At 35.6% G+C, this 13428-nt stretch overlaps 1 protein-coding gene across 2 annotated transcripts in view; it reads left to right on the top strand.

The window, feature by feature from the left end:
- Positions 1-13428, top strand: part of CLVS2 (clavesin 2) — a 76691-nt gene that overhangs the window by 12614 nt on the left and 50649 nt on the right. For both annotated transcript variants that reach the window (NM_001010852.4, XM_047418196.1), the window contains exon 3: positions 2137-2311. In NM_001010852.4, the coding sequence (NP_001010852.2) occupies positions 2137-2311 (175 nt within the window). The remainder of the gene's footprint in view (positions 1-2136; positions 2312-13428) is intronic.

The raw sequence follows: 13428 nt of genomic DNA on the forward strand, positions 1-13428 counted from the left end.
CCACACATGTTTCAGAGATTTAATAACAAATACATAGCAGAGCTCTATAAAAAGTTTTATTATTTTATATATTCAGATAGTTTTTTGGATGCTGTATCCCTAGGCCTTTTGACTTTTGCCTTTTATAATACTAATAGCCTATCCTAAAGATTATCATTTCTGATTTATACTCTGCCTAGTAAACTATATCTGTGCTTATCATTCTAACAAAAAGTATGCTATGTGTGTATTCCAACCAACATTTACTGAACACCTGTTTATACCGAGAACTGTGCAAAATTGCACAAATGTTTTCACCTGAGTCATCTCTTTGATGACTCTCTGGTGCTGCCCTCAGTCCTCCCCCAAACATGGCCAATGAGATAATGAGAATAGCATGAGATAGGGACAGTTAACTGATCCTCAGAATTATAAATCAGCGACATATCCAGGACCATATGGCTAATGAGGTGCTGGGCAGAGATTGCATCTTGAAGTCTTCTGACACCATGCCCTGTGCTTGATTAATGCTAGGATTCTAAACAAGATTCTGTTCCAAACTGCTGATTTTACAGGTGAAGAAATGAGGTCCTGAAATGGTAAGAAATTGCCTGAAGTGCTAATGTTAATTATTCTTTCCTTTCTGAACTACTATGCTTTCTCCTAGCACATCCAAGTGTTTTTAGAAGTAAAAATAGACCTACTTCCTCATATATCTTCACTGTATCATACTGCCTTCCTAACGAACTCATCATTTCCACTAAATGGGAATGATTTCGACTCCTAATCCACTCCCCTCCCCATCCTGCCTCTTCCCTGAGGTCCAGATCTCTTTCTCTAGCTATTCCTGAAATCTCTCCTGAGTGTGTCCGGGGAAAAAACTTAAAATGCAAAGTGTACAAAAATTGAAATTGTTAACATCTTCCATAAAATTTCTCACTCCTCTTAAAGTGCTGAGATTTCTAGGGATTCCCTTTTTAGAATAATTATCTGATATTTCTCTTAGCTCTGACTGCATTACCTCCTTCACTTCATTGAACTTAGAGTCTATAAGCTTTTAATTCCAGAATTTTCAGTTTTGGGCTCTCCCCTGAGTTTAGGATCCATTTGTTTCAGAAGCTTGCTTGATATACCTCTCTGGGTATACTACATGTTTCTCAAATACAATAAGTTCTATTCAAAACTTTGTATTCCCAGCCATTTCCAACAGTATCCTATTTTTGCATTATTGATATTGATTAAAAATTTTACTATGTATTCAGGCTCTGAAGCTAAAATATGTGTCATTTTTTACTCTTCCCTAATTTCAGTCCTCACATTGTCACAGTATAACAAGATTGTCTAAAATGCCACTCAAATTTGGCTTCTTATTTTTGTTCTTAGTTCCGTTGCCTCCATTGAAGCAGTGTCTTAATCTCCAACCAGTGTCTTTCTACTCTAGTCAAGTCACTTTCACAGTAATATAAAGAGCATTTATTGGGTTACTGGAACGTTTCAGGAACTAACCTGCTAAGGTGAAAAGCAGAAAACAAAACAAAACAAAACACAACAAAAAAAGATCCAACCCTTGAATTAGGATGGTTTGTATTATTGTAGGTAAATTTCCATGACTTTTCCCACTTTTATTTATATTTATCTCCTTCTCTTTCTATCCCTACCACCTTTCCTTTTCTTTATGATACAAACTCAATACAAGTAATTTGAATTGAGTAACTTTTATTGATAGCTGTCATGTACAGTGTTTTCATTTATTGATGAGACTCACTCAAATCTCATTCTCAGTTTTTTCAAATACGAAGATATGAAATGTCAATATTACTGAAGGCATTCTTGAACCACTTAAAACGTGTGATGCCTAGTTTTGGGTTAGTTGAATGAGATTTTAGAAAATCAAAAGAAGGCCTGGAGGTAAACTAAATGATGATAAAATATGAAAAAGCGTTTCCATTTGTTTGGGCAGAATACATGTTAAATTCGATTATGTTCTTGGAGTACATATAAATTAAACCTCTTCCTAAAATAGGTTTTTAAACAAAATTATTTCCTTAAGATTCTGAAGGTATTTTAAAGTGAATTTTTAGTGTGCTAGAAAATATTTTATAGCTTTTTGGAAAAGTGGTTGTCAGACCTAATTTAGTACTTTTCTGTCGCCGATAGGTACACACTGGTGGATATTTTGCGTGCCATCTTACTTTCTTTAGAAGCCATGATTGAAGATCCTGAGCTTCAAGTGAATGGGTTTGTTTTGATCATAGACTGGAGTAACTTCACTTTCAAGCAAGCCTCTAAACTCACACCAAGTATGCTGCGATTAGCTATTGAAGGCCTGCAGGTAGGATATGGAAATTACCTACTTCCTTGGTCTCTTGTGTTTGACTTCTCTTGTCTAATGTGTTAGAATGAAAAAATGTCTTACTTACAGAATAACAAAAACAAAAAAAATCTGTAGTTTTTGAGCACAAACATTAAAATACTAACTGAAGAAAGGATTATAGAAGAAACGCTGAAGGAAGAGAGTTTGTGACACTAGTACAGTGCTCCCTGTCTAAACAAATACAGGTAATGAGCTGAGATTTTTAATCTGAAAATCAGAACAAGCAACATTTTTTAGATTGTAATGATTAGCTATTTAGGCTTGTTTTTGTTTCTTTTTTCTGTGCCTATTAATTAGCTAAATATTTTCTTCATTATTTCATTTAACCTGGTGAATTTGGGATATGATCAGCAATATGTTCAACTGTTGGAAAGTCAATCAATATGTTTTTTGGTCTCTAAGATGCAAAGATCATCTCTCTAAATTTTCTTTAGACTTCATTGGGTTTTTTTGTGAGTGGGAGGGGCTGTCACATGGAATTTATATAGGAATAGTGCTTCTTCCAGTGAGTAATGTTTAACTACTTGGGAATTAGAAGATGGGAAACATATTATTATTTAGTGGTCTGTCATAAACCTGCTATTGTCAAGTTGCTTTTAACTTCCAGGGTGTCCTTCTATTCTCTCTCTTTGCTTTATGCTACTTTGTGTACAATGCTTATGGAATTGATTTTAAACTTCTAAAAATATTTACAAGTTAGTCCTTGAGTGATGTAATTCATTAGACTGGGGCATCAATGTTGAGTAAGCCCAAGTCATCTAGATTTTTACTCATTAGTAATTTCTGACTGCATCTATACACACCTAAATTGATAACTGCTGACCTCTTAAAAGTGGGCAACTTTTCCAGGTGCTGGAAATCTTCGATTTCTGCCTCTGGACTGAATAAGACACACTGATGTTTCTTCTCCATATAGGTTTTTCCTGATGTAGGCTTCCTGACTTGCTCTTGGTGAGACAGCCTTGCTCCTCTCTTATCTTAAACAATGCTTTTTAAAAACCTCCACAGGGACAGTTAATACAGGATGGTAGACAGCATAAGATAATGCATGTTTGGAAATGTGTATATCATATAGAATCAGTCCTAACTCTGCCCTTTTTCCAGCAATGTATATGGTGTTCTTCAGTTTGTGAACAAGATTGGTTACCACCCACTGTGTTACCTAACACAGAATGGTAACCTAGCCTTTTATAATTGTTATCCCTATTTAACCTGTGTCTTCTCTTTGCACTAGAGCTAGGCTAGGCCTTCAGCTCCTGAAGGACTGGAGAACTCATATTTTTCTTTCCCAAGAAATTAAAAAAAAAACACTTCAAGAATAGACTCTTGCTATTTTCCAACCTACTTTATGGAGTTTTTTAATAATACTGTGATAAGTCATTGCAGGAGAACAAACTGACAATTTGGAGATGTTTGGGAGCTTCCTTGTTAGCTGTAACTACTATCAGAAGTTCTTTAAGTGCTACCTGTGAACACCAAGGAACTACACTCAGATGAAACCTCTGTGCTTATGTCTAGTGAAGGAAATAATCCCATTCTCTGCATGGACCTGTAATGGCTGCACATTTGGAGCTGCCTTCTCTCTGTTCCCCAAAAATATCTCAGCCCCTTTCTCCTTTTTCCCAGAACACAAGACAGAGTAAGAAGGGTTGATTCCTCCTAATTCCCAATTAAGACGCCACTTAAGAGAAAAAAGCTCTTCCTGGGAATAGATTTGATGTGTTACTAACCTTTAAACTCATTTTTATTTTAAGTTCAAATTGACTTTTTAATGCTATATAATTACATCTATACCTATGTCTGTGTCTGTATCTGTGTCTGTGTCTACTCTATGTATATCTAAAAACAATGGTAATTCTGAATAAGAATATAGGATTGCTAGAAATGTTCCGTTGTGACATGCATGATCTCATATTTAGTCTCGTACTGAAGTAACACTTTCTGACTTTTTAAATCAAGTCACTGTTTTACTTTGCATTTGCTATGTGACAAATATTGTGTACCACTATATGTTTCATTCAGAATATGAATAAACATTTTTTTCAATATCAAAATAAGACCACAAAATGTTTGAAGTAAAGATACATACACAGTTTTAGGTTGCTAAACACAGCCACCACCATGCCAAGACCATCAACACCACAACAGTAATAAACCTCTTCCAGTTAGTCAGTAAAATGAAGAAATGAGAAGATTTTAAATAAGTCAATTAGAACTTATGCCATAATTCTGCTATCATGTCACCTTTATTTAGAAAAACATAAAAAAAAATTATAGGGGATTGAACCAAAAATAAGAAAGGCTATCAATCTAGCAGCCAGAGAGGAAACTTACGTGCATTATGAATGGGATGTAACTCTGTTTTGAGGACTCCTTGTCTCTTTTTCTCTTGAGTTGGCTGTAACCTATCAATCCACATCATAAACCTACTTATTTTTTTGCATTTTATTTTATTTTTTTATTTTATTATTATTATACTTTAAGTTTTAGGGTACATGTGCACATTGTGCAGGTTAGTTACATATGTATACATGTGTCATGTTGGTGTGCTGCACCCATTAACTCGTCATTTAGCATTAGGTATATCTCCTAATGCTATCCCTCCCTCCTCCCCCCACCCCACAACAGGCTCCAGTGTGTGATGTTCCCCTTCCTGTGTCCATGTGCTCTCATTGTTCAATTCCCACCTATGAGTGAGAACATGCAATGTTTGGTTTTTTATCCTTGTGATAGTTTGCTGAGAATAATGGTTTCCAGTTTTCATCCATGTCCCTACAAAGGACATGAACTCATCATTTTTTATGGCTGCATAGTATTCCATGGTGTATACGTGCCACATTTTCTTAATCCAGTCTATCGTTGTTGGACATTTAGGTTGGTTCCAAGTCTTTGCTATTGTGAATATTGCCGCTATAAACATACGTGTGCATGTGTCTTTATAGCAGCATGATTTAAAACCCTTTGGGTATATACCCAGTAATGGGATGGCTGGGTCAAATGGTATTTCTAGTTCAAGATCCCTGAGGGATCACCACACTGACTTCTACAATGGTTGAACTAGTTTACAGTCCCACCAACAGTGTAAAAGTGTTCCTATTTCTCCACATCCTCTCCAGCACCTGTTGTTTCCTGACTTTTTTTTTCTTAAGCAAGAGTATTTAAAGTGACCTGGCTAGCACCATATACCTTGTATAAAGATACATGAACCATTATTATATATATTCATACATGAATATAGTATAAGATCAATTAAGGGACAATGTGGGAGGGTAGAAATAGAAAAGCTTCTAAAGGCAGACAGAACAGGATTTGGATGGCAACCCTGCCATGCATCAAATACTTGGGCACTTGTTTGAATCTCAGTCTATTCATTTATACCAATTTTCAAGTGTTATTATATTAGAAATGATACGTCTTCTACCTGGCAGGTAATATCAATGATTAAAGTAATTGATGTGGATCAGCTCATTTTTCAGGTGCCATATTTTTCTGGATGTGTGCTGCCTTTCTCACAAGTCAGTGACTACATAAACTGTGATGAATTAAAGTTGAATGACTTTGGGAATCTGAATAATACCATAGTATTCTTTTGGTGCTCAGACTTTAGATACAGATACACAGACTGCAGTCTTTTCTACAATTTTTCTGTAGTTAAATAGCATCTAGATATTTTTATGTTGGGTGTCAAATAAAATACATTTTCATGTTAGAAGCAAAGAATGAGATTGTTTCACCTGGTGAAATTTCACCTGTGTTTCTTTTGGAAGAAGCTCTAGGCATAGCTGGAAAGGTGAGGATTGTGGAGCTATCCTTGGCTTTGAAAGTTGAGTGAAAGTTTGCTAAGTGGACAAAAACAGGTAGGACATACTGATCAGAGCAACATTGGGGAAGTACTCTGAACAAACATGCAGCTATAGGGGGCTGAAAACACAGGATGAATCTGTATTAACATGGCTAGAATGGGAAATGAATTGAGGAAAATAACCAGAGATGAGGCTGGAAGGGCAGGCTGAACCCTGGCTCTATGGCATAAAAGACTGCATACTATATGGTGTGGCTTGTGCTCTCCAAATATAGGGAGGTTTGGGACAGGAAAGCATCCTAATCACTTCTCTGATTTGGAAACATCCTTTGGATAAATGAACTGACTTAGATCAAAGGAAAGAGAAGTTAGATCTGGAGAACCCCATACCACCTTTGAAATAATTATAATAGTCTCATTTTTATAGGATAGGAAGTGAAACTTTGAGGAGTTTAAGATGCTTAATCAAGTTTTCTCAGCTGACCTCAAGGCTTGAGTCCTGGTTGTCTGACTCCAAAGGCCAATGTCTTTCATGAATCTTGTTTCTATTGTTTCCAGGCCTGTTTCTAAGAAACAGTAGGTAGGCTCAGATCAAAGTAACTTCTCCCACCAATACTCAAATTCTCACATATTAATATAGGTGAAATTTATTTATTGGAATAGACAGTGCAATTCTAACTAAAGATGTCACAAATGGCTGGCCTGTGGCTTTGGACTTTTTTGACACCGCATGGCAGAACCATGTTCTTTTCCCAGTGAGCCATCTCTTTAAGTGACTATTAGCCTCCCAGTTCTCTAGGATAAAGCATGAAGGCCAAGGGGAAGCCACTTTGCTGATCACCAAGGATAACTTTTATTAATATAACAACAAAGTGATAAGCCATTCATAATATTGGTCCAAGGTAAGTTTATATGCTTTCTCTGTGCAAAAATCTTCAAATGTTTTCAAATATGAAAGACAGCAACCATTTTTACCAACAAAATGTATTTCCGTGATAGGTAAGGCACAACATCAGACTTTTTTTTTTTTTTTTTTTTTTTTTTTGTGGAAAGGGAGTATTCAGGGTGGCAAACAGAAAAAAAGAAAAAGAAAAAATTAGAAAGTATTCGGCTTTGATAGAAAAGAAAAAGAAAAAATTGTCTTCCTACTTACAAGAGTTAACTGATTAGGGTAGTCATAGAAACAGGAAGTTTCTTAGAAAATCAATACAAGATTAAGTGAATGTAACTGGTCGGCTAAGATATCTGCCTGGAAAGCCAACTAAAACACAAACTGTTTAGAAATACCTACAATCTCTTAGACTCTGAATTTACAGTAAAATTACGTGCTTTTTTTGGGGGGGAGGGGGAGGGTTACTGTGTTTTTTTAATAAAATGTCTCTAAAACTCTTTATTAATGAGAAACTTGGACTTTTTTATAAATCCAGAATCTCCCAATTTATAGATGATTTTTAGCTTATCCTAGCCCTACCCTGCTGCCCTTGAGACATATTTATGTTTTTCTCCCTTGCCTCTGCCCTACTGGGTCTCTGTGCTTTTGCCTTCACAATTTCACAGAACTCCCCAGACTCCATCTGCCAATAAGTACATAATGTAGTCAAGGCATGGCTTGCTGGCAAGGGGTTTGGCTGTAACAAGGGATTGAATAGCTCTTTGAATTGCTACATAAGACTCAGATGTATGGCCATCACAAAATGCCTAAAATAGTGCCAGATAGTGTAAGAGCCCTTAATAAGTAGGACTTGTGACAGAATAAAGAATATGTAATCAATTCACTGGTCCTTTCATTTGACTCAAGGGCCCAGTGTTACCAGCGGCCACCAATCTGCTAGCTCTGAGAGCTGTGATCATTCATGTGGAAGGCAAAAAGTGCTGCTGCTACACATTCTGGCTCTAAGCGTTTGGAAGCCCAGTCCTACCTAGGGAATCTTGCCAAAAACGCAGGACATGCTAATGACTTGGAACATCACTGTCCAAGGCTGGGGCGTGAGGAGCTCCCTTAGCTTCACTATAGCATTTGCTTATTCAGTCCTTCAAGTCCTACCTATTTGTAATTTCTAACAGCTTTGAAATTGCATGTGTGTATGTGTGTGTGTGTGTGTGTGTGTGTGTGCGTAAGATGGTTAAGGGAGAGTGTAGAAAAGAACTTAGTGAGATATTGACTAAATTAGGAATTCATAATAAAACAAAAGGAGTCTGTGTTTTACAACAGTGTTCTTTGCAGTGGTTGTTAAGCTGCCAATAGTTTTCAGGCTTAGAATGCTTTAGACAATAGCAGAAACCTCTTGTTTACGAGCTACATTTTAAGCTTAAGGCAGCATTATGATACATTGATGGGAGGGGGCTGAAGCAATGCCTATCTTTTTGAAAGTAAACACACAGACTCGTGAACTGTATTCATTCAGGCAGCCTGGAGATGGGAACGTTTATTTCTACATTTTGTATGCAGAGGCATTACCACATTGAGAAACAGTGACAAGGGTAGTGTGTAAAAAAAGTGACATTTTGTTCATCACATGCATAGCTGACTGAGCTAAGTGTGCTTCTTCTTAGTTGTTACTTAACCTAGAACAAAATGAATGAAAACCCTAAAGTTGCTTTATTTCATGGTGTGAGAATGTAGTTTGGCTGAGAGGTTTAGTTCTCAGAAGTAGGACGTTGTAAGTCTTTCTTAAAAGCTGACAATAGGTAAAAGCTATATATAATATTCAGTTCAGCAAGCAGGCTAAGGATTATATAATCTTTGATAATGGACTAGATTAATTCTGTACATATGCCTATGTATGTACATATAATTGATGTATTTTTCTTGTGTTAAAATTGCTGTTCATTTCTTTTGATTTTGAAATCTGTTAAAAGTGTCTAGTTGTAGGAAGCAGGTGTCAACCTTGACAAAAAGTAAAATAGAGAAATGAGTGCTCTAGGGTTATTTAACATTTACTGAATTAAAGAGAATTACTAATTATTAATAAAATTTAATACTTCTACACCTTCAACCACTGACAATGTGACTTGTTATCATTTTGCTTCAAATAATAGAACAATTGAAGTAACACAAAGGAAAGAAGAAAATAACACTTTTTGGTCTGAGTCATTGAGCTAATGACAAATGGATAAAAAGTAATTATCTATAATGAAAAACTGAACAAAGCATATGAACTACTCTGGATTTCATTTTATTGGCTATGTTTAGACATGTCCTGAACTAGAGAACAAAAAAGATGAGTGAATGCAGGCCCTCTCTTATTCTTTTCAGCAGCAATGTAAATGCATCTTGATGTGTTCTTCTTTCCCAGCAAAACCTCGTTTTTTTCTCTCTTCAGATCAAAACTCCAAAATGTGAACATCAATTTATCCTTTTAGAACACTAGGACTCAATGGCATCGGTTTTTTCTGTAGATACTGATGAAATTGACATGCTTGTCTTTTAAATGTCTATTCATTTCATTTTTATAAATTTTATCTCATGAACACTTAATTAAAATCTTTCAAGTATCAATTTAAAGGGTTAGTTTTGTTTTCTTATATTTAAAAATTCTGGTACTATATTGCCAGAATCTTAGAAGTGAGTGATTCTCTCTTATCCATGAATAATACTCTTGTTCTATTCTCTTAAGATTGTTCTGAAAACTAAAATACTCTTTTTTCTTTATGTTCTGAATAGCTTTTTTTTTTTTTTTTTAAAAAAAAGTGGGCTTGATTTTCTTCTCTTCTGCATTTGGAGAAGCCACAGTAAACTCACAAGAGAAATGCCTCTTTGGTTTCATCCTGGGATACCATTTGATGTGCAATTAATAACAGTGTGTTTCTATGACCTAAAGTCAACTACATTTTGAAAGTCTTCAATTTGAGTTTTAAAACATGGATGAGTATAAGGTCATTACTTAATTTAATGAAAGCTGCTGTAACAAACAAACCAAAATGTGTACATTGACTCAACCATCTCTCACATGAAGTCTAAGTGATGGTGCTGCTCCTTTTGATTCAGTGGCCCGTATTCCTTCCACCTTCTTGCGCTGCTGTCTTCTCCATATGGTTTCCAAGGCCACTTTGCTCAATTTTATTCCTTTTCCCTGTAGGGTAAAAAGCAGGGAGAATCACATGCAATAGATTCCTATGGGTCAGATCTGGATGTGTTGCACATCATTGCCTTTTGCATTCCACTGGCTAGAACTCAGACAACGGACAATCATGACAGGGGAGGCTGAAAAATTGAATATAACTTGGTCTTAGGACGAGGAGGAATGGGTGGGCACCTGTACTCTCTTTCACAATGATGACCCTCTAAAATAATTTTGATGATTCTTCAGTTGGCACTGTAAGGGGTGTTTTGCTTATGTTCTGTGAAAGGAAGAGTTGATAATCAGGCAGTGTTTCGAGGAACTTTAATTCCTACATTCAAGTACAAAGGAATAAATATATCATCCCTACAATTCATTCTATGTACTGACTGTTCTCTGTACCTGACTAGCTTTGCATAGGTTAAGGGGCAGGCGATTTCTATTTTTTTGTATCAGTATAGCTATATCTCTATAACAAATGCAATACACCTGTGATTCTATCAATTCTACTCTCCACAAATTTCCCTGGCTCCTGTGATGAGTATTTCCAAACATCCTGAATTTAAAAAGAAAAAAAAGGTAAATTATTCCTGTAAATTCTGAAGACTCTCTCCAGGACAGCTGCATTAGTCTGGGTTCTCCAAAGAAATAGAACAAATATATAAGGCGATTTATTATATAAGACGTTGGCTTATGCAGTTATGGAGGCTGAGAAGTCCCAGAATATGCACTCACCAAGCTTGAGACCTTGCAGGGCTGATGGTATAGGTCCAGTTCAAGTCCAAAGGTCTGAGAACCAAAAGAGCCTATGGTATAAGTTATATTCCAAGTTCAAGTTCAAAGGCAGGAGATGATCAGTGTTCCAGCTCAAAGACAGATAATTAGAGTGAGACTCTTACTCTGCCTTTTTTTTTTCTATTCAGACTTTTGACAGATTGGATGAAGCCTCTCCCCACTGGGGAGGGCAGTCTGCTTTACTCAGTCTATCCATTCAAATGTTAACCCTATCCCAAACACCCTCACAGACACCCAGAATAATGTTTAACCAAACACCTGAGCACCCCTTGGTCTAGTCAAATTGATACAATAAATTATCACAATAGCTACATAGGTTGAATATTCCTTTATCCAAAATACTTGGGATCAGAAATACTTTGGATTTCTGTATTTCTCAGAGTTTGCATTATACTTACCAGTAGAGTATCCCAGATCTTAAAACCCAAGATCTGAAATGTTTCAACAATCATTTCCTTTGAATGCCATATCAGTGCTCAAAAAGTTTTGAATATTGGAGCACTTCAGATTTTGAATTTTCAGATTTGGGATGGTCAAACTGTAGCAATATAGCTGTTGCTTTGCCTTGAAGTTAGAAATCATCCAAATTTGGGATTCAGTTGTCATACAATGAGAATAAGACATTTTTAAAAATGAGGTGGCCTAACAAGAAACTTTCAGAAATGAATACTAGCTGCTACAATACTGAGAGAGTTTCACGATAAAGTCTTGTTGTATGTGTGGACTTAGAGAATAGAATCACTGTTAAGCTTCAGCATGTCAATAGGATTCACCATATTATCAAGATTTATCAAGTACTTTACAAACTGGTTGGAGGTTTACTTACTGTTTAGCCACATACTGAAAACATGCAGAAGTCAATACAATTTTAATCAGTATAGAAATTAATAAATAAAATTTAAAATTACATTATCATTACTTAGTCTATCAATTATATTATATACTTCAAATAATCAACTTTCCTCTTGGGAATATTCTAGAAGCTCTTTATGTTATAATTTTTCCCTCTTTTTATTAGTCCTATATTAGAGCTGTCATCCTAGAAATTTAAAAAATTTCACCTTTGTGTCATCTTAGCTCTTGCTCGAATTTCATTGCTGCAAATCTTAGAACTCTTTTCTCTCTCTTTCTTTTGTTTCGTTAGACTCAATCTTAAGGGCTTTTGTCATTGTTCACTTATCTGAAAGAGTATGGGGGGGGTAAAATTGCAGAATATTTGCATTCTCTAAAATGTGTTTATTTTGTTTTCACATCTGTTTGACAGTTTTACTAGATATACAAATATGACTTCAAAATAATTTTTTTCTTAGTACTCTGAAATTATTACCTTATAGTTGTTAGGCATCCATTATTTCTGATGAGAACTTTGAAATTATTATCTTATAGTTGTTAGCCATCCATTATTTCTGATGAGAACCTTGGCTTCAAACAAGTTCTTATTACTTTGTAGGTAGCTGAAATCTCTCTGTAAAAGATTTTATTACCTTTTTTGTTATGTTTGGCATTTAAGCACGCAACCGGGAGGGGATCTTTTTATGTGTCCACCAGACACTTAATACATGCTTCAGTTAAAAAAAAATTATTATTTTTTCCTCTGATTTTTTTTGGTGTTTCTATAGCATGGATTTTGTATTTGTGTTCTTAGTCCTCTGTATATAATAACATTTCTGTTTTGTAATTACATATATATGATAAATGTTTTATTTTTATTTTGAGACCATTGTATTATAGGTTTATATGCAGTTGTAAGTAATAATGCAAAGAGATCCCATATATGTCTTTCCCAATGGTAACATCTTCTAAAATGATTGTATAATATCACAATCAGGAAATTGGCATTGGTACAGCAGGAATGAAGGACCTGGTTGCCTACGCAGCCTTCTCTGGCATCACTCAGATGGGGATGAGATGCCTTATTACAGCTTGGTGAGGGTGTAACTCTAGGCTCCCCTCTCAGCCTTTGCTGGTATGGGTGAGGATGAGGCCATATTTTTTTTTCCTGATATTTGGCTAGAATAGTACAGTTATTACCTAAAATTGTTGCTAGTATGTATCTTTCCTGGTTCTTTGGTTAGTGAGAACAAGCTTTTCTTATGGCTTTTAGTCTTTGTGTGCCCATAGGATTTTCCAGTTTCTTTAGCTTTAAATTTGGGATCTATGAGGCAAAATCAAACTGAGGAAGCTTATCACCGTGTCATTCTTTGGGTATCAAGGCCCCTAGCTGGTATGCCTTATTCTCCTTACCTTTCAGAGTATTCTTACGTTTATTTTATATATAATGTTTAGGCATTTTAGTTATACTTAATGGGAGGAATGGGGAAAATTATTACCATCCCATCTTTACGGAAGCAGAAGTTAGAGCCACATGTACATTTTATCTTCTAAAATTTTATCAAACTGTCTGATTTACTAATGTT

Source organism: Homo sapiens, chromosome 6 (assembly GCF_000001405.40).
Source record: "Homo sapiens chromosome 6, GRCh38.p14 Primary Assembly".
Lineage (NCBI taxonomy): Eukaryota > Metazoa > Chordata > Mammalia > Primates > Hominidae > Homo > Homo sapiens.